We start from the raw sequence: 27,023 nt of genomic DNA, 5'->3' as shown, positions 1-27,023 counted from the left end.
AAGAATGCTTGCAAAATGCAACAATTTTAGTTTTGATATGCATAACGTTGAGTTTGTTGTAATGGTAGCAGTGAGAATAATAGGGAACAGATGCCCACACAGTTAATAAGTTATGAAACTGGTATTTAAACCCATGTGTTCAATGCCATGTTATTTCTACTACAGCAATAGGAAGGCTGCCTAGCATTTTGTACATATAGAAAATTGGCTATATTTAAATATAGTTTATTGTTTACTATTAATAAAAGGAATCCTGGCATTGTTACAGGATTTCACTAGTTTATTTATGGTTCATTAAACTCTTAAAAATTTAGGACCCTAAAGAGCTTCTGTTCTGTGGGTTAGTTTCATCAATATTTAGCATATTGGAAATTAAGATTGAGAAAATTTAAAATATATATTCATCATTTAAAAATAAAAATATTTATTATGTATCAACATAAATACGACAGTTTTATGAAAAATAACTATATATTTCAAAACAAAAATATTTAGTGAGAAGAGGGCACTATTTTACTTTTGCTTTGTTCTTTGTTTTTTTGAAACAAGGTATCGCTCTGTCGCCCAGGCTATAGTGCAGCAGCATAATCATAGCTCACTGCAGCCTTGACTTCCTGGGCTCAAGTGATTCTCCTGCCTCAGCATCCCAAGTATCTGGGACTATAGATATGTGCCACCATGCTTGACTAATTTTTTTATTTTTTGTAGAGATGAGGTCTTGCTATGTTGCCCAGGCTGGTCTCAAACTCCTGGGTTCAAGCAATCCTTCTACCTCAGCTTCCAAAAGTGCTGGGATTACAGGCAAGAGCCACTGTGCCCCAGGCCTGTTTTAGATTTTCATAAATCTCTTCAATATCTGGCCGAATACAAACAGGTGGATTCTCATATCTGCTTTTGCATTCAATATGTTGTGTAATGTTATTTGATTTGGAGTATGTATGAAAACAATCTTCCCTCACACAGGTATGTACTTGGGAAAGGGAGGCCTTATGGACCCCCTGCAAGGTTCATGGGGACCATCAGAGTGGCGTCTTCAGAGCACACTATGGGGACACTGCTTTAAAATATTATCAAAAGTGTTACATTTTAATAATTAGTATGCATGTAATAAAATGGAAATCTAGTTTTTGCATATGTATTATGTTGATGTCTGTATTTGATTTTAGCTCCATGTATTATGGAGGACTTTCCCTTACTTTTGGATTTGTAATGACATTATGGCGAAATTGTAATCACATTATGGCGAAATTGTAATCAGAAACCAAAACCATTTTTTAAAATTTATGGAGTGGATTAGAGTATAAATTTCAACAGGATAGGAATTGTGAACAGATGTTATACTGAAAAACCAATAGAAAAGAAATTCAAATAGGTTATTATTAATTTAGTAATTATAATAGTATGAAATAATTCTGTACTCCAAGAGAACATTTATCCCATTAATTCTTTAAAAAATCAAGATCCTTAACCATCTATTTATCTTTCACCATCTTTCCCACCCTCCCTCCACCTACTTCTTGCATTTATTTCCTCTTCTTTAACATTCATTCAATAAATATTTATTGGACTCTTTATCAGTTAGGGTAACCACTAGCTTATGTAACAAAGAGATTAAAAAATGCATAATGGTTCAAACACAATGAAAGTTTATTTCTTGCTTAACAACCAATGAGCATGTTTCTGCTTGGAGTAGTGGCTGCTCATTTTATAGGTGGCTAAGGAAGCTGCAATTTCTGTGGTGTTTATGAACCTGGAGAGGCCGGGCACGGTGACTTACGTCTGTAATTCCAGCACTTTGGGAGGCTGAGGCAGGTGGGTTACTTGGGGTCAGGAGTTCCAGACCAGATGGGCCAATATGGTGAAACCCCGTCTCTACTAAAAATACAAAAATTAGCCAGGAGTGGTGGCGGGTGCCTATAATCCCAGCTACTCAGGAGGCTGAGGCAGGAGAATCTGTTGAACCTGGGAGGTGGAAGTTGCAGTGAGCTGAGATTATGCCACTGCACTCCAGCCTGGGTGACAGAGAGAGACTCTGTCTCATTAAAACAAACAAACAAACAAAAACCTGGAGAATTAGGAGGCCACCTCACATGGATGCCCTGGCCCTAGCTTTTGTTTTCATGAAAGTAGAGTTTGGACATTCAGATCTACGTTGCAGAAAAATCAAATTTTTGTATCACTGACCTTGCCAGTAAAAACAGCAGAGGCAACAGCAGCCAGCCTCTGTCTCACCGTGTTAACCTTGCCTTCCAAAGTAATGCCAGTGTATCGGCTTGGCAAGAGCTAGGTGATGTGCCAACATCTAACTGTCAGGAAGTCTAGGAAATAAACTTTAGCTTTCTAGCTTAGCTTTTGTTCTAGCTATCTAACTTAGCGTGCATGAAAGAACACAACTGAAATGGAGTTGAGTACACTAATCTGCACACCTAGGAAAAAGATCTAAAATGAAATATAATAGTATGTCGACAATGATTATCTCTGGCTAAATCACAGCACCTTCTCCTTCCTTTACTATCTTGATTTCTGTCCCTTGTTAATTTTCATCAGTCTAAAAGAGACTTTCTCCCATTTCCAGTTGTCTCCCTTGGTTGCTATAACAGCATAAGATCAACAATGAGAACGGTCATATTGGTGATTTCTGGCAGCCATGGGAAGACTTTACTTTTAGTGCAAAAACTATAGAAATTTCACCCATGCATAATTCTTTTGGGGGTGGGGTTGTCTGGTGAATTGGTTAAGGGAGCCTTTCAGTGCAACTATATGTGTGTTGAAATATGTCAATCTTGATTATTCTTGCTTTGCTGCCTGGTGTGGATACTTTGGGGTTTCTGACTTCTAATTGAGCTTAGGCATTATGGTAACCAAAGATTATTGTGTTAGGGAAGAAGCCAAGATAATCACAAGATAATGTGATTTTTTTTCCTTAGGTAGGTCAGAATCAGTCACTTTTGTCTTGTTATGCATTGCTGCTTACTGAAGATTCTATATAATACATGATGGCAAAAGATGCTTTCATTAACGTTTCGGGGTTGCCTAAGTAACAAGTGGAATAAATGATTTATCCTCAGTTCCTGGTTATATCCTGGTCATTGAGGAGCTGAGAATAGAGGGTAGTAAGATAATGCATCTGAGGCTGTGGGGTAGGTGAGGAAACGTGAAAGAGTAGTCCAGAAAGGAAGGGAAATCTAAACATACTAGATGTCAGCAAATCAAATAGTTCATTCTAGAGTGTGAGGCACCCAGAGGGTATAGCAAAAACAAGCCAAATGATTATGTACTCTGAATCTAAAAAGTGAATGGTTGACAGCCCAGTACAAAGATTGGGTTTCTACTCTGAGATAGGGTATCAAAAGAGTCCAGAATGCCCTAGGGTGAAAACCTTGGCTTGCTGTGGCTTGCAGAAATCAGAGTATGGGAGTGTGATGGGTGTGGTGTAGGAGGCATTATAGCAGTAATTCCAAAGCTGGCTAGTGCCCTTGGGTTACTTTCAGTTTCCATGCTCATGGGAAGATTGGCATGCCCCACATGGTTAAAAGTACCAGATAGAAATGGATAAGTATATATATATATAATTTCTTCATGATGACTCATGTTGCTTAGGGCTAAGAGAGTACTTCCTTTTAAAAATGCATTGCTTACTTCATTAAAACCAGTTTGATAGATTTGATTATTTTATTCTGTTTAATAAAAATATTTAGACATAATAACTAGAGCTCATGAATGTTCCCAGCTATATAAATGAAAAAACAAAGTGCAACATTCAGACAAAACAAGTTAATTCAGGTGACACTGTTCTAAGTTGTAAAAGGACAGACCAGCATCTGAAGGGTTTTTAATGTGGCAATTAAACATGGTTAGGGGGCTATGTAAATTAGCATGGTTTTAACTGCATTTATGGTCATCTTAATCTGATATGGCTGACTTAATTTCATGGTCATTTGAGGATAGTTAATTCTACTTTATAGTTGCTTACCAGGAAAGTATACCTCATGCTGTGTGGTGAGGTTTTGTAAATGAATTTAAAGAAAATTGTTATTGTTGGAAAAAAAATTCATTGTTTAAGCATCATCTAAAGTTGCTGCCTCTAAGGGATCATTGCTGCATGGTATTTAAAAATAGGTTTTAAATGAGTTTTATATCTTGACGGTTTGAAAAGAACAACACAGATGTGTGTATTTAGCCAAAAAACTTTAAATGCTACAGTGGGCCAGTCTGTGTCCACATTCCTTCTTGAAGTGGTTAGTGATTAATCCTAGGGCAAAGATGAGTTTGTAGTTTATAAAGTACTGTACCAGTTGATAGTAATCTTGTAGCTTGCATATATGTGCTTTTTTTTTGAGACAGAGTTTCACTCTTGTTGCCCAGGCTGGAGTGCAATGGCACCATCTCGGGCTCACTGCAACCTCCTGGTTCAAGCGCTTCTCCTGCCTCAGCCTCCTGAGTAGTTGGAATTACAGGCACCCACCACAACGCCTGGCTAATTTTTGTATTTTTAGTGGAGATAGGGTTTCACCGTGTTGGCCAGGCTAGTCTTGAACTCTTGACCTTAGGTGATCCGCCTACCTCAGCCTCCCAAAGTGCAGGGATTACAGGCATGAGCCACTGAGCCCAGCCTATATATGCTTTTAAAATCTTATGAATAAAAATAACTATAAAATTGTCAATTCTTTCTTTTTTTAAAAACCAGTTTTATTTCAGTTTATCTGGAAAGTTAACTTTATAGCATTGTTTATATGAGAATTCTTCTAAAACTTTTCAGTGCTACACTAAAAAGCGTACAATTGGGATTTAACGTTGAATAAGGGGTTGCAGTCATTCCTCTGTATCTGTGAGGGACTGGTCTAGGACCTCCCTTGATACCAGAATCCGAGGATGCTCAAATCCCTGATATAACATAGTGTAGTATTTGCTTATAACCTATGTAGATCCTTTCTTATACTTAAAGTCACCTCTAGATTACATATATTTCCTAATAGAATGTAAATACTATATAAATAGTTATTATACTATATTGTTTGGGGGATAATGACAAGAACAAAAAGTCTATACATGTTAAGAGATGCAAATTTTTTTTTGAATATTTTCAATCCTTGGTTGCTTGAATCCACAGATGAGGAACCCATGGATACAGTGGGCCAACTGCATCTGAACATGTTGAATGAGTCAAATTTACTAGCCTAAAAGGAATCTGAGTCTGTTAATCTACTTTATAGCTGATTGTATTTTATTCAATATGAAGTTTTCTGTGTATATATATATGGTGTATGTTTAATTTTCTAAATTTAAATTTAATGTTTAAATTAAATAAAATAGAAAATTAGTTTAATTTTCTAAATTCTGCCTATGTGGAACCCCATGTCGCTTAATTATTGCCCTTTGGAGTTTGTTTTTCAGATAATCATATACTCATGAAAGCAAATATTTTAAGAATCATTAAGTTTTCTAACAGAATTAGACTTTGTATTTTCAGATACATGTAATTAAAGACCTATTGGGAGGAAAATAACTTAAAGAGCACTATTAATAAAGCTTAAACACAAACCTTTGAAATATGAAGCAAAATCAAAATAGACTAATTGTATGTTCTCCTTAGTTAAAAAAATAGCTTCAAATATGTTTGGATCATTGCTCAGAGAGTAGAAAATAAATTACATTTGATATAGAGGTGAACATTTAAAAGATTACTCATGAACAACATTTCTGTACATCTTATGAGTGACCAGAAGGTTTTTCTATTCTATTTTTTCCCTGTTTTTTTATTGTTTTTCTGTTTTGAGTAGAAGTTTTCAAAATTGCTCTTAAAACTGGTGGGTATTTATGAGAATAACTGAAGAAGAGAAATTTTGAAAAAATATCTGAAATTACTAATTAAGAGGATATACACAGATTCTATACATTAAGTAATAAAGCCCAATATTACAATTTACATTGAAGAAGTTTTGAAGAGTAATAACACTTTTTATTTATACAGTATCTGGTTAAAGATTTATAGTGTATAAATTGCTAATTTTCATAATTAATTTATATAAGAAAAATATTTCACCAAACTGATGTCATGCATTAGTATTATTATGTACATTATATTTTTAACTTTTAAAAATTTATTCATTTTGATTTTTAAAAAATTCGATGTACATTGTAAAAAATAAAGGAACTTTTAAGAAGAAAATTTAATTTCACTTTTCACAGGCAACCATTGTTCTTTATATTCAATAAAAACTGTCAGTTTTAGAGTACTGTATTATAAATTGGACATTCATAAAAGTTATTCATGGATGCTGCTGCTAAAGATTACCTTGGGAAAAACTAAATTCATTAGTACGTTTCCCCAGTAGTATCCTTTTCAGATCCTTCACTTTCTCTTTATTCTCTAATATTTTATTCTAGTACCTATATAGCTGTGTTTATTCTATTGAGATTAGGGTCCAGGATAGGGTAGGGATTTAACTTTTTGTCGAATGAATGGCGTATCTTCATTTTTCAGAACTTCTTGTATTTCCTTTGGTTAAATTTTATAGTTGTCTTCATATAAACTTTGCACATTCCTTCTTAGGTTTATTTCTAGGTTTTCCATATTTTTTTGTTATTGTTAAAAAATATTCTTTCCAATAAGTCTTCCAGTTGCTTATTTCTGTGTATAAGAAGGCCATTAATGTTGATCTTGATTCCAACCATATTTCAAAATATTCTTATTTATATTTTTAAGTTTATTGTCTGTGTGTTTCTAGGTAGTCATATTATTCAAAATAACACATTTTCTTTCTTTTTTTTTTAAAGCCTTATACATCTCAATTTTTTTTCTTTGTTGACTAGAACCTCTCGTCCCTCTTGACTTTCATGGGCATCCTTCTGATATTTATCATTTAATGTAATATTTCCCTTAGGCTCCTCATATGTTATCAAATAAGATTTTTCCTGTCTATTTCCAGTTGGTCAAGAGCTTTATTTTCGTTGTCGGTTGCTGTTTGTTTACCTTAGGTGGAAATTAGATTTTCAAGTACTTTGGCCTTTGATACTAGGTATCAATAAAGATGGTAATATATATGTTCTCTATTTATCTGTTAATGTGGTAAATATGTTACCTTAATAGGTATCTTTAAATTTACCTGTCTTACATTCCTGGATTAAATCTTATTTGGTCATATTTTTAACTATTCAGCTGGATTTATCAAGATTTTATTTGGAAAATTTGTACCTATATTTATAAATAAGGTTCTGTAGTTTTTTCCTGATGTCTTTTTTCATTTTTTGGTATCAGAGTTATTCTGTCCCCATTTTTCCTAAATATAAAGCTTGATGTTCTACTCTTTATTGATTTTACATTCTCTCTGAGTAATATCTGGTCTTACCACTTCAATTATATGTCTCCTTATACCATTTTATCACCTAATATTCTGTCAGAGGACCCTATGTAGGCAGCTATGGTTGATATTTCAAATGTTTTCAGAAGACACAGAAGAAGGAGAAAGAAGAAATATGTGGATAAAACCAGTGTTTTCTATTCATAACTTATGTAACATATATAGCTGACTATGTTTATGGTGTCTATCATAAAAATGTATAAAGATAGTCTTTTGATATATTAAGTTGTATATTCTGAGAAAGTCCTTTTTTGTGTATGTGTATATTTATGTATATATGTAGTCTGTATATGTTTTCAATACCCATAGCCCTTTTCCCACTGAACTGGACGGAACCTTATTGCCATTACAATGTTTTTTCAGAGAAGAGTGTTAATGCAATAAAGAAAAGTTAAGTTTCTTTTTTCTGAGTTCTAAGTAGGCTCCTGAAACTTCTAGTTGGCTTAATAATCTTGACACACAAGATAGTGTATTTCAAGCAGCTGAGCTATATGAAATAGAAAAGGGTTTTGAGTTTTTAAAATAAAGCTCTGAAGATATCAGTGCATAAATTTATTTTTATTTTAACTTTTAACAACAGATTGGAAAGAAATTAGCCAAAGAGTGAGATGATCTCATCACATTATTAAATAAGTGTTGCCTTGGTTAGAAGGGGAGTTGAAACAAGGTTCAGGAGACATGGCAGCCCTGTGTTCTGCCTTTCTTTCCTCTACAGCCTGAGACCAGGGATAATGATAGAAGCTCCCTTTAGTTGAAGATTTGAGCATTGGAGATTTGTGCTTCACTCTCCAGGTGAAAGCCAGGGGATGGCAAGCGTTATCTAAGGCCCCTGTCTGATGATAGTGTGCTGGTGGCAGAGTTGGAATGGCTGCACAGCCTGCTTCTTCTGGAATTTTGTGAAGCAACAATGTCATGGGTGTGTCCCATATTGAATGACATGGTATCACTTAGATGGAGATGGTTAACTATATGAGAGAAGTCTGTAGATAAAGCAGGTAGAAGATAGTTAGCAGGCTCCTATGGGCCCAGGAAGGCAGTTGAGACTTCATGCACTTTTGGGCAGAACAAGGGAGCTGGATGCAAGACCAGTGCTTTAAAGGACCTCACAGTAATGTTGAGAAGAAGCCAGGAATGGTAGTATGGAATACATGATTAGAGTCTACTAAGACTACAGATAGTTCACTGAAAACCCGATCACACAAATGCTGTGACTAGAGACTTGACAGGTGCCAAATCAGAGTGCTACAGGTCCAATGCCTCTCACCGATACCATGCGGCTGCTGTGTGAACTTCCCTCACCACGTAACCCTCACCTTAGGGAAGAGAAGGATGAGAAGTCATGAATTCTTAAGATGAGCATATGCAGAAATTACTGAGGAAAATCAGAATGATGTAAGCTTATCTAGAAATGACTAGATTATGTTTTCTGATACTTGGTGCTACAGAAGCATGAGAGAGAGGAGGTAAGTTCTATTGCAGAAAACAGTATGACCAGGCACAGTGGCTCATGCCTATAATCTCAGTACTTTAGAAGGTTGAGGCACAATGATTACTCAAGGCCAGGAGTTTTAGATCAGCCTGGTCAACACAGTGATACCCCATCTCTATCAAAAAAAAAAAAAAAAAAAAAGTTAGTTGTGCATGGTGGCATGTACCTGCATTACCCAGCTACTTGGGAGGCTAAGCCAGGGGATTGCTTGAACCCAGGAGTTCAGGGCTGCAGTGGGCTATAATTGTGTCTTTGTCATCTTTGTACTATGTTTATAAGGTTTTCTTAAAAAATACTTCTCCCATATCCTGTCAAGCATTACCATTCCTGTAGGTTTTATAATGCTTCTGATGTTTGTGTCCATGATTCCAAACATCTGGCTAATTGACTGCATTTATACCTTTTACACATATGTCTTGGTTTTATGTATATATTTGTTGTGTTAATGGGAAGCATACTGATATAAAATGCAACTGGAAAAAGTAGTACAGAAAAAGGAAATATTCTCTGTCAAGTGCCATTCTGTTGAAACTGATGTTTAAGTAGATGAACATCTTTTTCACTGAGAAGTTGTAACCAAATCAGATTCAGCTGCATGTTAATATATCAAACAGGAAAAATTAAAGTACTGTGTAGCAGCTGTCTTGAAATATGCAGGTTGAAAAAATTTAAAGTGATATGCATTGGATATATGATACAACATTTATGAAATTGAGATGGACAATATGTCTGCACTTTCTTATTTCAAATACATTGCTTGAAGTTTAACAGAATGATCATGTAATTAGATAACAAAGTACAGTGAGTGGGTGCCTTTTGTTTTTGGAATCACATTATAGCCACTTATTTAACAATTTTTATCTGTAGCACTCATTTGAAATTTACATATGTCAGAAAGGAATAGGTTTTATCAGATATGAAAGAACTTGATGATAAAATGATGTTGGTGATGAATTGCTCCTGTAGCTGGCTATCATCAGGAATTGGGAGTTACACAGTGCAGTGTAAGTAAAAAAGATGGGCCGGGTGCGGTGGCTCACACCTGTAATCCCAGAACTTTGGGAGGCTGAGGTGGGCAGATCACGAGGTCAGGAGTTCAAGACCAGCCTGGTCAACATGGTGAAACCCCGTCTCTACTAAAAATACAAAAATTAGCTGGGCGTGGTGGCACGCGTCTGTAATCTCAGCTACTCGAGAGGCTGAGGCAGGAGAATCGCTTGAACCCAGGAGGCGGAGGTTGCGGTGAGCAGAGATTGCGCCACTGCACTCCAGCCTGGGTGACAGAGCAAGACTCCGTCTCAAAAATAAATAAATAAATAAATAAAATAAAAATGCTCCCCTCATTCATTTTGATTTAATGGGTTGGTATAGAATGCAAGATATTTTTCCCAGTGTACACGCAATAGCGAATTGAGCAAAAAATGTATTAAGTAAGCTTTTTACTTTCACATCAAAATCAATACCAGCCTGTTGTTGAAAATTTTAAGATTATGATTTCTTCATCAATTTGCATTGTACTTTCATCTCTTACTGTGTAATAGTTGGCCATCTACCCTAATAATACTAAATGCAATGATTGAAAATGCATAGTCTATTTTTCATCTAATTCATCATCCCCAACAATTACAGTATTCACGGTTTTGGTCTAAGTGGAAACTTTGTAAGGAAATTAGGGTAATGTGGCCTCTAACACAATTAAAAATAGATACAAAAGATGAGAGGTCAAAGTCCTCATGGTGACTATGAATAAACTATTAAATGTTATGGATTATTTTTGGAAGAGGTGTTAGAGTCTCTTTTCCTATAGTATAAAATACTCTATAGAAAGGAAGTGAAAAGTTGATATTCTATGGTGAGGTCAAGCTGAAACCTTCTCTGAATCAATACACGACTTCAGATAAAAGCTGCTATTGTGGCTATGATTATTTATGAAGAATGATCATATAAAATGCAGATAATTATTATATGCCTAGACCCCCCTATCTGAGGAAGGAATATTGTAACATTACAGTGTGTTGAACACCTACTGTGTACTGCTTTAGGATCTGGGGACACTAAGATGGCCCTGTTCAATGAGTTCATAGCCTAACAATTTATAATAATATACACTAATATTTAAAAAATAAAGATAAGTCCAACTATATATATATATATATATGTATATATGCAAGCTTGATGATATGTAATATAGTTTATTATTTTAATAGTTAACATCAGGATTCCTTTTAAGAAGGGAACATCTGGGCCAGGTGTGGTGGCTCACGCCTATAATCCCAGCACTTTGGGAGGCTGAGGCAGGTGGATCACGAGGTCAGGATTTCGAGACCAGCCTGGCCAACATGGTGAAACCCCCTCTCTACTAAAAATACAAAAATTAGCCTGGCATGGTGGCGTGCACGTGTAATCCAAGCTACTTGGGAGGGTGAGGCAGGAGAATCCCTTGAAAGCAGAAGATGGAGGTTGCAGTGAGCTGAGATCGCACCACTGCACTCCAGTCTAGGCAATAAGAGCTAAACTCCGTCTCAAAAAAAAAAAAAAGGACCATCTTTGTTTTGATAAATAAAGTAATGAGCTCACATGCAGTAGATGAGAGCCATGATATTGGGTGTGGGTCGGGGACTCTTATTCTACATCAGAGAAGAGACATTTATTTTGACTAGAACAGGGAGAGGGCTCCTGAGAGACAATAGGAGAGGAAGTCAAGCTAGAAGGCTGGATTGGGCCTCATGATTTGGCCCTACTAAGAGAAGCCATGTATTTTCTTTGGCCTCCCCTTCCTTTCCTTTCTTTCAGTGGCTGTTTTATCTAGCTCTTGTCTCTCTTTAAAGCAGGGACTTCATTCTACTCCCCTTGCTGGTACCACCTGACTACCCTTCTTCCTCTACAGGCATTCTTAGTGAATGAACTGTTGCATAGTTAAGGCTCCTAGGGCTTCATGAAAGCCAAGAAATATTTATTTGCCTTATTGAAGTTTAGAGGGAGAAGCTGACTTTTATCATTTGAAATTTAAAGAGAAAGGCACCTGATGTAAATTAACTGGGTTGCATTTGGTTAAACTTTGCTCAAAAATTTAAAACTATTTTTTGCTGTCTCACTTTTTTTTCCATAGTGAGGTATATTGCATCCCACTTGCCTGTAAAATTCTTGGGGGAGTGGAAACAATGTTTCATGCATTTTGGTTACCATCCCAATGCCTAACATAGCAGCTGCTCAACATAGGTGCTCCTTCATATTTGTTAAATAATTTATTGTTATTAACATTAGCCATAATTTTATTTAATTTGTTATTTTGCCAATATTTTAGTGAAAAATGGAATTGAAGTAGCAATCCTATGTTCTGATTCTGGTAATTAGAGCTCTGGGAGACTCCTCGTAGGTAATGTAGTTTGAGCTCTGAAATCATTTTTTTCCTCATGGCAAACAATTAAAATTTCAGGAAAACTATGTCTGGAAATAAAACAGCCTCTGATGTGTTCTGCATGCAAGCTGAAGCTTATAAAGTATTAACCAGTACACACAGAACTCAGTCTACTTGGGAAGGAAATAAATACTTGAAAGGATTTTTGATGAAGAAAATATTTCTTTGCTAGTCTAAAATCTTTCCAGGAAAGTCCTTAGGAGCTTATGAGATACACATAAGATGGACAGAAGAAGTCATATTCATTGCTTTCAGATACCAGAACCCTTGGATGTCAGAGTCAGCTAATATGTAAATGGCACAGGTTCATTTTGTACCAGGAGAGCATCGAGGGACCTATGAGATATATTTTAATGCTATCTTAACAGTTTCTAAAGACTATCACACAAGTCTAGTTCTATAAATGATACTAATAATACCATTGGGAGTATTTTAAAAACGTTTGGAAGCAATGATCTTATTCGTAGGGCAGACTCATGTTAACTGTTTGCTATTAGGACAATTTTGCAGGTTTTCTTTATTTGTTATTCTCAAAAACTGCATCATTTGGTTTCTAACATACTGAAATGGAGAAGGAAGTGTATTAGAGTATAGTTAGATGGACCGAAAACTGGCTCAGTCTTTTTAAGAAAACATGAACATCTACTGTGTTTTAGGGAGTGGATGAGAATTTAGCATTAAACAAAATGTGACCTAGTTGGAGAGACGTATTTATGAAGATAAAATCTTCTCATATAAAGATTTTATATAAGCACTTTAGAAGTATTTCATCTTCATAAATACTTTGATAGAACTTTTTTTTTATTATACTTTAAGTTCTAGGGTACATGTGCACAATGTGCAGGTTTGTTACGTATGTATACATGTGCCATGTTGGTGTGCTGCACCCATCAACTCATCATTTACATTAGGTCTATCTCCTAATGCTATCCCTCCCCCCTCCCCCCACCCCACGACAGGCTCCAGTGTGTGATGTTCCCCACCCTGTGTCCAAGTGTTCTCATTGTTCAGTTCCCACCTATGAGTGAGAACATGCAGTATTTGGTTTTCTGTCCTTGCGATAGTTTGCTCAGAGTGATGGTTTCCAGCTGCATCCATGTCCCTACAAAGGACATGAACTCATCCTTTTTTTTATGGCTGCATAGTATTCCATGGTGTATATGTGCCACATTTTCTTAATCCAGTCTTGATAGAACTTTTTAAAATAAAATTTTCTGTGAGAGATAAATTTCATTTATGAAAGAGGAAAGGTGGGGAACTATGTCACAGATGACACACAATGGAATTGGGCCTTGAAAGATTGAGTAGAAGCTCATTGCAGGAATGGCTTTTCTTTTGTCCCTTTCTCTCCTGTTTTTTTCATATATTCTAAATCTGATAATCATACTCAAGCCCAACCCTCTACTCCCCAACCTCCTTGGAGCTGATCTCAGGTGATTGGGAAATATGAACACCGGAGAGAGGCTTCCTCTCTGTAGCCATCCTTCCCTCTTTCCTACTGTTCCTCTTAGTCCTGCTTGAAGCTTATTCTTGTGCTCTTAGCCTGTTTCTCTGGTTATCCATTCTCTCTTCTGCCCTGGCTTGGTTTCTGCTCAAGTAGTCAGGTCAGGAGTTAGGGTAGGGGCTTTGGAGCAAAACATGAGTTTAATTCCTGACCTTGTCCCTTGGAGACTGGTTTCGTCCACTTCTTAATCGTTTTTACCTTCAACCCCTCCCTGTCTTCTGGCATTTCTCTTTCAAACTCTAACTTGCTTGTGTACCCATAAAAATAAGTCACTTCCCTCCTCTGGCCCTTACATCCTCTCTGCTTTCCTTCTTAACCAAGCTTCTTTAAAAGGCTAGACTACCCTGCTGACACTCCATATTCTTCAATCTATTGCTATCTGTATGCCTGTCACATACCTCAAGCCCATCACATTCAGAACAAAATTCTTCTTCCTCAAGCCAGCCTTTCTGCCTCTGTTCTCTCTGAGTTTATTCATTCACCTAAGCAGAGACTTGGCAGTCGTTCTAGACTGCCTTTTCCCACCTCTCTTCTTTTTTTTCCTTCTTCTCCTTATCAATCACATTAGTGATTAGTGAACATTTCTTATGAGACAGAGACTTTTTAAACCCTCTGCCATCTATTATCACAGTTAATTTTGCCAGCATCTCTATGAGTTAGGTGCTCTTGTGCCTATGTCACAGTTACAGAAACCAAAGTATAGCTTCATTCACACAAATTAAAGTGGTGTAGCTGGAATTTAAAGCCCAGAGTCTGACCAGAGCCACATTCTAAGTCACTGCTATACCACAGCTTACAAATCTAAAGCATCACCAAGTACTGTCAGTTCTGCTTTTAAAAATCTCTCTTGAATTCATAAATATTGTTCCATCTACACACCTGTAATCTAGTCAGCTTCTTGTCTTGGCTCACCTCAGAGCTATAAGCTCTCAGTCTCTAGTGTGGCTTTCTGTTTATCTGTCCATGTATACTTCCAGAGGGATCTTTTAAAATACCATAGTGAAAGTATAAATTTTATCACTTAAAAAACTCAGTGGGCCTGTAAGTGTGAGGTAAGTTCACACTTTTTCCTGGATCATTTGGAAGGCTCCATCCAAACTACTTGGAGAAAAATGTAGTTGGTATGTTGATTGCATAGATAGTTTGAATATATGAGTCAGCTTACATATTGAATAACAGATTCTGGATCTAACAGATGCTCAGTAGTGTCTCTTACCCCCTTCTCTCCTCTGCTCTGCTTAGGTCTCTCCTGAAATAGCCCAGGACAAGGGTTAGGGCATAGTGGAGTCAACATGGGTTCAATTCCTGACTTTGTTACTCCCAATATAGCCTCTAGCAAGTATTTCTATTTCTGTAATCCTCAGTATCTTCATTTATAAGTTGGTGATTATAATGTCTTCCATATTAGGCTTTACTGAAATAAGACATACAAAGCACTTACTACATATGATGGTTCTTATCGTTGACTTAGTGTATTTGTCTTTGATCATTGAAATATAGCAATGACAACATATTTAGAAGAGAGTGGTTAGGTAATTGAAATAACCCAATGTTATGTCTTGCAGTAATGGTTGAAATTGAATAAGCTATAGCTATTTAATCTGAAGACAAGAAAACTGAGGCAAGAGGATATGCAATAGCTGCTTCCAAGTATTTGTGGAGATGTGGAAGATGAATTCAGTTTATTCTCTTGGCTCTAAGGAGCATAGCCACATGGGTGTATATTAAAGAGTTTAGGTAGGTTTTTCACTCAATATGAAGAATTCCATAACAGAGCTGCCTTAAAATGACCTGGACAGTATAGCAGCTATTTTGGTGGAGGCCTGATGTTCACCAGTCAGGATTGTCAAATGGGACATTAGTACTTTGAATACAGAGCTAGACTTGTTAGCCACTAGCCAGAATCCCACTAGATAATCTCCATTGCACTAGCCTCCTCTGATGTTCTATGAGTCAACTCAGTTTTTGCATATCATGTTATTTTCAAGCATATTCCACCTGGACCATTTACAGATCACAGTTTCTGTGGTAACCAATTCCTGTAATATGTTGCAGTCCTCAAATAATCAAATACCATACATTATTTCTTCTTCTGTATTTGCATGCTGTCTTTTATATTTCCCCAAAGTGTTAAATCTGGCCTTTAGGAATCAACATCCTGTAAACCCCAGGAGACAGTCCAATGTGTGCAACATAGGGCTTATTGCAAACAGCTGCTTATTGCAGAGTGGTGGGTAGCAAATTGTGCCTCAGGTGACCAAGAGGAAATGAACCTGATCATGTTGAGCTTTCTAATGAAGCACAACTAAAATAGTTTGATGTAAAAATCTGTCTACTTGGAATTTTTACTTGACCTCAAATTAGTAATATTACACATTTAGTAATATTAGATTTGCCCAGGAGTGATAAAGGAATTTATTGAATCTTAAAATGTGGATAATGTTTTATGTGATATTATATGAAATTTCCAGTTTTCATTCTTAATAAATCTGTTCAATAAAACTCTAAGGAAAACTGTATGTGAGTTACTCAGGGTTTATCTTTACTACTACCTCTGCCCTGTCAGTTTTACTACTGTTATACCCGAGTTGAGTCCCTGGGTTTCTGGGACTTAAATGTTGTTTTGCCTCATATTCTCCTCCAGAGATTTATCACTGTGGCCTCTTCCTGGTGCCTTTAGGTGCCACTTCATTTTCAGAACTTTGTCGACTTGTTCTCTCTTATTAAAATTCTCCAGTGTTTTATCTTCTTTTCCTCCATTCTCCTGTTTGTCCTTCCTAAGGTAACAGCGATCTACTTTTAAAAACTCAGCTATATTGATACATGTTAATACATGACTTAATCTCAGGTAACTTATGTATGAACGGTAGTGTTCAAAACAGAAGGCATTTATCCATCTCTACTGATGGGTGTTAGGCTGTTGAAGGTGAAATTTAGAGAAAATAAGAACCTTGTGTTCACATCAAAATAGTCTGCATATATTACACCTATAGACAGCTTCCCTGCCTTTTTGCTTCCTTCCTAAATCATTTTTAGTCTTTCTACTGTATGCCAGACATGGCTCTATCTATTGGGAATATGCTGAAGAACAAAGAAGGAAAGATCAGTGAATGGGTAATAGAGAAAAACAGGAATACAGATTGAGAGTTCAGTTTAGATATGGTGTCCAAGGAAAGTCTATTTCAAGAGGTATTACATTGAAACTGAAGGAAGAAAAGGAAGCAGGCATACACAAAGTGAAGGGAAGAATGTGCTAGCCAGAATGAACAGCATGTATAAAGGTTCTGAGGTGGAAAAAACTTGGCATGTTGCAAGATCTGGAGGAGGCCATGTGGCTGGAGCTTTACTAGGACAAAGCTGGTGGAGGTATGTTTGGAGAGGTCAGTAGAAATCAGATCATTAATAGGATGGTAGGAAGTCATTGAGAGAGATTTTAAGTAAAGTGACTTCTATTTATAGTTTGACAGCTCTATATTAAAATAAATTGGATGGGGCAAGAATGGAAATAATGCATTTAGAGGTCTAAGAGAGGGGAAGTGGATTACTGTGAGTATAGAAAAAATGGAGATAAGTGGTCAGATTCAAAATATCCCTTTGCAGGTTCATACCGAGACTTTTTGGGTTGTATGGGAAATAGCGTTTCAGGGAGAGAGAAGAAACAATGACCACGATCAGTTTTCTGTTTTGATCAGTAAATGATGGTTGTACCACAAAATGGGGTGGTGAAGGTTCCTCACTTTACAGAAGAGGAAAATAAAGCTTGAAGAGTTTATGGTGATCACAAGGTTACTTTCTGTTTCACCCTGCCTTTTCAAATGTAAATGAACACCTAGACCATCAAATTCTCTGTGCAGGAAATACATTTTTATTCTATGTTATGTCTCAAGGACTCAGCATGGGGCTGGCATTGATATCTTTCACTCATGTATTAAAAAGATACTGAGTTTACTAAGTGCCATTGTATATAGAGCAGGGACACAGAGAAATGGTCCCTCTCTTGCTGATAGTGGAGAAGACGGGACATTACACACTATGTGGTTGCTGAAGGAGTGAAGCACTGGGTGCGCCGGGAGCCAGGAAAGGATTCTGGGTGAATGTCATGTCTCAGCTGAATAGTGAAGGCCGAGTGGAAGTTAGAAAGGACAGGATATAGTGTGGTAGGCAGAGGTGATAGCTTGTGATTAGAGCCAGAATCTGAAAAGCTCAGAAGAGGAGTTGAAGTTGGATCCCTGTAGTTGAAGAGTTTAGTTCAGAGAGACTAGAGAAAGGAAAAGTCACAGAAGTGAGCAGGGCATGTTATAATACTCCAAGAGCCATTTTAAGAACTTAGATATAATGTTGTGGTAGACAGGGGGCCATTTATGATTTTTAGAAGAGGCATGACTTGATACAATTAACATTTAACAAAGATCCTTGTAATTGTAGTGTGAATAATAGATTGGAAAGGGATACAACCACTCAATAAATATTTGTTGATAATATTCTGCAAAAGTCTAGTATGCATAATAGGTAGTTGCAAGGATTTTCAGCTTGGTTAGGTTTAATCAATGAGACTGTTTGAAACTACCAGGGAGTGGTATAAACAGGTCCTCACTGAATCTTATTGCTACTTTATTCTGTTATTTAAATTTTTAGGCAATTTGAGTTTAGCATATACATGGTTTGTTTTGGTAGTTTGCTGGGGTTTTGCATAACTTTTATGTTAGAAGGGTGTTAAATTTTAAAGAAATCATATAACTTTTTAGAGATTCGTGTATCTTTGAAAGAGTGAATACTTACTACTACAAAAATTTTAAGCTAGCTAGAATTACAGTGAAAGTTGACATATTTAAAATACTTCTAGACAATGCTCGTTGAATAATGAACAGAAAATTATATATAATTATATTTGCGTAATTATAATAGCATTTTTAAGATCAATAAGATAATACAGAGAAATTCAAATGTCAGTTTATTACCAGTGTAAAATTGTATATGACCTTTATTCTTTTTTTTTGAGATGGAGTCTCACTCTGTCGCCAGACTGGAGTGCAGTGTTGAGATCTCGGCTCACTGCAACCTCCAACTCCCTGGTTCAAGGGATTCTCCTACCTCAGCCTCCTGAGTAGCTGGGATTACAGGCACGTGCCACCACGCCCAGCTAATTTTTGTATTTTTAGTAGAGACAGGGTTTCACCATGTTGACCAGGATGGTCTCGATCTCCTGACCTCTTGATCTGCTCACCTCGGCCTCCCAAGGTGCTGGGATTACAGGCGTGAGCCACTGTGCCCAGCCAACCTTTGTTCTTTGTATTTTGTATATATGCAAAAAAGATTTTATAAAAATATAATATTTTAGTATATATTGAAAACTCCCAATTGACAAATTTAAGTTCTGGAAGTTTTCTATAAGTCAAATCTAACCTTCCTCCCAAATACAAAAGTTATTTCTCCTCTACAATCCAGTATCAAATCTCTCTTTTAATATTGTCTTTTAAAATATTTTGGTTACTTAAAGTTCTTTCTTAAATACCTGTCTTGGCCTGTTTTGTGCCGCTATAACAGCCTACCTGAGACTGGGTAATTTATAATGAATAGAAATTTATTGGCTCATGGTTCTAGAGTCTGGGAAGTCTAAGATTGAGCAGCTGGCATCTGGTGAGGGCCATCTTGCTGTTTCATCTTGTGGTGGAAGAGCAAAAAGAAGTCAAAAGAGGGTGAGAGATCAAACACACAGCCTCAAACTCTTTTGTAATTAGTGTGAATCTCCGCATAAAGGTGGAGCCTGCATGACCTAAACACCTCCCATTAGGCCTCACCTTTCAACCCTGTTGCATTGGGATTAAGTTTCTAAAACTTGCTTTTTGGAAGACACGTTCAGACCATAGCAATATTGAACTAATTTCTTCCTTTGAAAAATCTGCCTTTTTGGTTCTAGCTCTATCCTCTGTGGTTTCAAGGATATGTTTAAATATTTCATATGTTATCAAGGCTAATTATTTATAAAGATTTATGCAGGAGCATTTACCATGGGAATGGTTTTAATTTAGATCATAATGAAATAGTTATTTCAAGCCAGTTTCCTTTCTGTATTTATATATGTTTAGGTGTGTTAAGACTGGATTGAAAGTCTCATTTGGTGTATATATACACGTACAAATTCATATGTATGTAACTATGTTTTTTTAAACATTGATTGCAGTTTACATCATTTATTCATATATTCATTCATTATGTTTGCTGAGTATTTTCTGTTTCCCTCCATTAGAATGCAAGAGACAGGTGCCTAGAACAGTGGCTCATAGTAAATATTTGTTAAATGAATAAAATTGATTTAATATCTTGAGAACTTTTCTGTGTGATGTATTGGCTACCAGAATTATCACTGAGAGGTTAGGTTGTATTAAAGATTGATTACACAGCTGATTAGTAGACGAATTATTACTAGAATCCAATTATTCTCAATATTGCTCTGCTGAATTCATTGCTGCAGAATGTAATCTTTGAAAAATTCTAACATATACTTAATATTTTTGGTGAAAATTAAAAATTGAAGTATATCATACAAACAGAAATGTGCACACATCTTGAAAGTACAGCTTGATGAACTTTTCCAGAGTATTGGTCCATGTAATTATCACACTGATCAATATCGATAAAGAACATTTCCTCCCTCATGTGACCTTCCTGTCTTTACCCAGATGACTTTTGTCTCCATAGGTTAGATTTGCCAGAAGTGTGTATTAATCAAAAGCGTACTTATAGTAAGTACTCTTTTGTGCCTGACTTCTTTCACTGACCATTGTGCAGGTGAGGTTCATTCCTGCTATTTATAACAGAAGTTCAATGTTTTTTTGCTATGTAGTATTCCTTTGTAAGACTGTTCTATGATTTATGTTTCCATCCTCTTGTTAATAGACATTTGGGTTGTTTCCAGTTTTTGGCTATTACAAATGCTTGAACTTTCCTGTACATTTGTGAATTTCTCTTTGGTATAAATCTAGGAGTGGACTTCCTGGGACCTAGGATATGTACATACATGTTCTGCCCTAGGAGATACAGCTAAAGAATTCTCCAAAGTGGTTCTATTATGTTCTATATTTGAAAGTATGGTGGACATTAGAGATGTGTTTTGAGGAAATAGGGATCATATTGGCTGAAAACATACACAGTCTTAATTCTTAAAGAATCTAAATAGGATATAATTACTTTGTTTTTTAAGAACAACTAGAATAACATCTTTTATATTTTTCTGTTTATCCCAGCTTTTCCTTTGACATAGGAAAAAGTTGAATGGATGTATTATCAGGCTGTCATCTCTTTGAAGTACAAAGAAGTCTGTAACAGAACAAAAAATGTCAAATATTCAGGGATCATATTGAATTACTATAGATATATTTGTTGCCCAATAATAATGATTCTTTTTGCACTGTGTATGCTACAAAACTTGAAGTCAGGAAAAAGGAACTTTCGGATTTCAGTTCATTTGATACCCAATAACTTTTTTTTTCTATTTTTTCCACATGTACTAGAGTTTCTTGATTATGTTTAATATGTTACAGTGAATTGTTTCTAGAGTATTCTGTATATAGAATGGTAGTATCAGTGATCTACAAAGAATTGATATTTCTTTGACAACTATAATTTGCCTGAGAATCCCAACTAGCACTCTGGGGGGCTATGTGCAGTTCTTAAACCATGTGTTTTGGAACATAGCATCCTTATTTGATATGGCTTTTGAATGCTATTTTAGCCTCAGTTCCTTTCAGTATGGTGTTTGGAAGGTATTTTGATATATTACAGAAGGCTAACTAGTCAATTTTCACCAAAATTCTTTTACTATGCAAGTATAGGTACAGAATAAAAAGTTGAGTTGAAGTCTTTGAATGAGATAGAGGACTGAAAACATTACTAGCTTTTGTATCTTTGTTTCATGTTCAATTGTACTGAATAGTTTTTATCTAGTTGAGAGGAGTGGTGTAGTTTGTTTAATTACTCCTCCTTACTTCCAGTTTTTTCAGTCACTATTTCTGCAATTTTGATTGGTTAAACTCTTTACTTCACTGTGTCTTAGTTGCTTCATCTGTAAAATGCGGTGTAGGGCTAAGCTGGTTCTTCCTAGAGCTAATGTCAAGGTGTATGTTCTATATATTTATGTAGGGTATTAGGTGTATATTAATAAAGAACAACTTACATGGGCCTCTCTTTTTTTTTAATTCTTCTTAATTGCAAGTGGAAGGAATTATTTCAGAGAGAAATACTCTCTCTTTTCAGAGAGAATAACTATCTTCCCTTTACTTAGCTTCATGGCTGGTGCTAAATGAACCAGGGAGGAGAGAGATCTGCTGAATCATGGCATTGAATTTGATGTTCTAAGCATTATAATTTCTGATGAATAGTCTCAAGAGGCTTCTGCAAAATGATACATTCTGACATCCAGTGACCTTTTAAACTAATATTTCTATTATATAATTCAGTTGCTTCTGTTTCCTGAAAGTAATAACATTAGTTTGTACTGAGGTAGATAATGATTTTGTTAGCAATTTCCTTTGTGGTAAGTGTTTTTACAGTAATTTAGTTTGAAGGAAGAATCGTTTGTACAAATAAAATCCAGAGGAGCTCACTTGTAGTGTACTGGGATCAAGAAAAAAGGTAGTTATTGACTCCTGGGACAATATTCTTGAGACTCAGGATAAATAGTTGTATTGACAGAATTTATTTTTGGTGAAGCTTGTTGCCAACTGCAAATCTTAAGCATGTGCACATGCATGCAATATTGGGGCAAAGGGACAAGAATGTGGAATTCCTGCTAATTCTTTCTATTGCTAGTTCTTTCTCATTAATGGATAAAAATTACAAACCTAGATTTCTTTATTCACAAGACAATAATACCTCACAGAGTATATAGTAAGTGTTAGTGAAATGATAATCAGAGGCATATACTACAGTGTCTGGCTAAATGATGCTAGATAAGGATCAACAATTTTTATTTCCTTCATGTGTGCTTTTTGTGCTATAAGATCCTAAACTAACTCCCAAGTAGGTAAAGCAATTTATTTTTCATAAACTTGTACTATTAAGTGTACTTATTATATATGATTGTTTGATTTATGGCATATCCATTAATTATTTTTACCAATGTAGTTTATTATTGAGAATACCTAGTCCCCATTTATGCAATAACAATTTACTGTAACTAGAATGACAGGGGTGGGGGTAGATGGTTGAACTTTAATGTTCTTATCTAAAATATTGAGATTCATAGCAAAAAAAGGGGGGGAGGAACGTGCTAAGGAGAAAAAAAATAGCAATAGCATTTCTTTCCTTCACAGTTTGCTTCTATTCTTTAATCACACATAACTTCTACACATCTTTCCTACAAACACTCTCCTCTGTTAAACTGATCTCATCTTTGCCCTACAGTTATCATCTCTGCCACTGTGCATTTGACTGCAGAACTTTCTCTTCTCTACCATAGTTGAGGTCCTGCCTCCTCCATGAAGTGCTTTCACTGTGCTTCTGCCCTTGCCTTCTTCCTTTGTCTCACTCTGTTCTCTGTCTCACCTACTTGCCACCTTTCACAAGTTGCCCTGAATCGTAATCTATCCTTTTATGTGTGTTTTAACTCTCCAACTGGATTATGTGCAGAGGCAGTCCTTTTTATTTCTTTGTATCTCTGGTAAACCTCATAGAGGCCTTCACATGACAGATTTTTAGTGAATGTTTGTTGATGCTGTTGCTGGTTTTGCTTCTGCTAATGTTGATGGAAAAGAAGGAAAATCTAATCCTGAATGTATGGTACTTAGTTTTTCTGTTTGCCTTGGGTAACTAAGACACTCTAGGTTTAACTAATTTGAGGTCAGACTTGGTTCACCTTGCTGAATGGTTGATTCATTTATTTGTCAGCCTACCTGCCCATTCAACTGTCCATACATCTGCCCATGTATGGTACTTAGTTTCTCTGTTTACCTTGGGTAACTAAGACACTCTAGGTTTAACTAATTTGAGGTCAGACTTGGCTCATCTTGCTGAATGGTTGATTCTTTTATTTGTCAGCCTACCTGCCCATTCAACTGTCCATCCATCTGCCCATTCATTGGTCCATTTCATCCATCCATCCATCCATCCATCCATCCATCCATCCATCCATCCATCCTTCCATCCAAATAACTTAATTAATACCTTCAGTTAGATACTGCAAAATATGTGCTGGGAGCCATGGAAGATAGAAAAAAAGTAATTAATGGGGTGATTATGGCATAATTTCTATTATTGGCTATTCTTAAATAATTTTTATATCTTCAAATAACTTTAAAAGATAGGCAAATCAATATCTATTTGTGTTTCTAAGTTAAAATAAACTATTTAGTGTATTACTTTTTATAATTCTCTGCTTTTTTTAAAAAAAGAAAACCCAGACATTTCATTTAGCTGACAGCTGTGGATGTTCGTTGCATTAGATAGATTTTTTATCTTAATATAGAAATCTTACTGAACCAAGAAAGTTTTGCAGAATTTCTGAAGGCCGAATATTCAGACTTAAATAATAACAATGTAGGCTTGCTTTTCATTAACTTGATTAAAATTTAAAGTTGGAGTTGAGAAAAGATTGGAACAATTGACATTAAATATATATGATGCTTATGAATCTGTGTTTGGCACTATTTTCACTTATTTGGTTTACCTTATCAAGACTAGTTTCTGTTAAGCCACTTTACCTTATTCAGTATAAATAAGACTGAGTACCAAAATTCTAAAAAAAAAAAAAAGTCTACTTCTGAGAAAGGCAACTTGATTAATCAATAATGTAAACATGAATTCATTTTGGGTAAAATTAATTTAGCAGAAAGATCTGATCAATACTATAAAATAAGTGTGCTTTATTATGAAGATAATTGAAGAGAGAACTTTCATTGAGAAAGAGCAAGAAATTATATAACAAAATAGGCAGAATGAAACATGAATGCATGAATATGAAAGAGAACTTATTAGAAACTGTGGAATTGAAAAATGTAATTGAAATTAAAACACTACTGTAGACAAGATAAACTCTAGAAAATTTACTGTTAGAGATAATTTTTAAGCTGAAAGATAGTATTGAGAGATCCACCCCAAATCAAAGATAGATAAAACATATAAAAATATGGTTGAGACTACAAGTTAGGTTGAGAAGTGTCATCATAACTAAAAGTATCTAAAACATTTTAAACACATAATATTTTTATTTCTTTATCTTCCATTCACTTTAAAATAAGGCCTGGTGTGGTGGCTCACACCTGTAATCCCAGCACTTTGGGAGGCTGAGGTGGGTGGGTTGCTTGAGCTCAGGAGTTCAAGACCAGCCTGGGCAACATAGTGGGACCCTGTCTCTACAAAAAACTTAAAAAAAAAAAAAATAGCCGGCCTGGCGGCACACACCTGTAGTCTCAGCTAGTTGGGGGGCTGAGGCAGGAGGATTTCTTCCTGGGAGTTTGAGGCTGCAGTGAGCCAACATTGTGCCTCTGCCCTCCAGCCTGGATGACACAGTGAGATCCCTTCTCAAACAACAACAAAAACTTAAGATGAAATTAAGTATACTTGAAACCATTTTTTTGACAAAACAATTTAAACATCAAGTAAGTATCTATTGATGTACAAAGTACAAGAACGTTCTTACCCTTTTTAGCCAAGAGCAATTCCTACCCCATAGGTAATTATTATTCATTTGATGTATATCATCCCAGATAACTTTATTCCTGTGTATTTCCATGAAATTATATACATACATGTAGAAATATATACTTTCCTGCTGTTTTATAAGAAGGATCAAACTTGTGCATATTACACACCTTTAAACGATTTACAATAAATGTCATCATGTCACAATAAATGTTAGAGAACTTTCCATGTTGTTTATGTAGCTCAAACTCATTCTTTTAAAGTGTCCTGTTGTGTTCTTTGATATGTGTATTTCCTAGTCTTTTTAGTAATTTTCTTACTGATGGACATTTAGGCTGTTTCTACTTACTGCTGCTATAAACAGCATTTCAATAAACTTTCTCGTATTTCTTAAGTTATTAGTGATCTTGGAGATATCTTCATGTTCTCATGTTTATTTCACCTGTAAATTTCACGTTGATAACTTTTACCTATTTTTATTTTGAGTTGTTCTATATAATATTAACCTTTCATCTTTGTGCTGTAGATATTTCCTCCCTGTCCATTTGCCATTTAGCTTTGTTATATTTCCACTCTTTAGACATTTTACATTTCATGTTGTCTGGCTGACTTTTTTGGGACTCTCCAGGCTTATAATAACAGAGAGATATTTGGTAGTCATCCTCATATCTGTTACTATTTAAAGGGATGCATCCATTTCATCAAATATGGTTTTAAATATGTAAGATCTGTTCCAAAGAGAAGGTGAGGGAGGCTGAAACCTAGCTCTAGTTTGTATCTTTTCTATAAAGAAAAGTTTTTTTAGGTCTCTTTTTCTGTCTCCTCTGCTTCTTATGCCAGTGTTAAGGTTTAGATTCCAGAAGAGCATCGGTAAGTGTGAATCTCAGCTGAGCTTATGGGACTTGGCCTATAAACTGCTCCTGCTACAGATTCAAAGACCAATGAAAGCTTCTTGTTAGAGCTCTCTGTGGAATGATTAACAGTATAAGAGTGATATGCCTCAAGAAAGAAGAGATGTGTCTCAAATTTCTGAATTCCATCGTTACCTGACTGATATTACCCCGAATCAACCTTTCTCTTGTTTTTTTCTGTGTACTGAGAGACGTTAGGAAAAGTGAGGGAAATGGAAGAAATACAAGTGAAGGTTTAAAAAACAATAATTTTAGTAGTCTGGTATTATCTTACATACTTGGGCAATCAGTGCCATCAACTTCTAGGGAGCTAAATTCCCTGGAAGTCTTTTGCACTGCCAGGACCAAGTTGAAAAAAGGATGAGAACCTAGAGCATACCTGGGGACTGTTTCTTTAGTCATGCATGTATGAAATGCCATGTTATACAAATTAGCTTATTACCCTGAATGCCTTTATGAGCTGGGAATTTAATTCTTTTTTATTTTTAAAATTTCATTGATAGAAATGTTAAGGCTATGAATTTTTCTCTGACCATTGCTTTAAAAATACTTGATCAACCTAAGTGCCAATCAACTGATGCATGCATAAAGAAAATGTGGTATATATACCCAGTGGAATATTATTCTGCCATAAAAAAGAATGAAATCCTATCATGTACAGCAACGTGGATGAAACAGAAGGCCGTTTTGTTAAGTGAAATAA

The 27,023-nt window shown here is 35.7% G+C and overlaps 1 protein-coding gene and 1 long non-coding RNA gene across 27 annotated transcripts in view; both read left to right on the top strand.

The window, feature by feature from the left end:
- The window catches only part of IMMP2L (inner mitochondrial membrane peptidase subunit 2), an 899,849-nt gene that overhangs the window by 201,134 nt on the left and 671,692 nt on the right, over window positions 1-27,023 (top strand). The window lies entirely within an intron of this gene.
- The window catches only part of LOC124900232 (uncharacterized), a 58,562-nt gene extending 31,539 nt beyond the window's left edge, over window positions 1-27,023 (top strand). Inside the window, exon 2 of the long non-coding RNA XR_007060475.1 lies at window positions 1-27,023. This exon is cut by the window's left edge and continues 25,705 nt beyond it. This is a non-coding gene — a long non-coding RNA (uncharacterized LOC124900232).

This window comes from Homo sapiens, chromosome 7, assembly GCF_000001405.40.
Source record: "Homo sapiens chromosome 7, GRCh38.p14 Primary Assembly".
Taxonomy (NCBI): Eukaryota; Metazoa; Chordata; class Mammalia; order Primates; family Hominidae; genus Homo; species Homo sapiens.
Note: the sequence above shows the minus strand (reverse complement) of the source record. Positions and strands in the feature narration are given on the sequence as shown.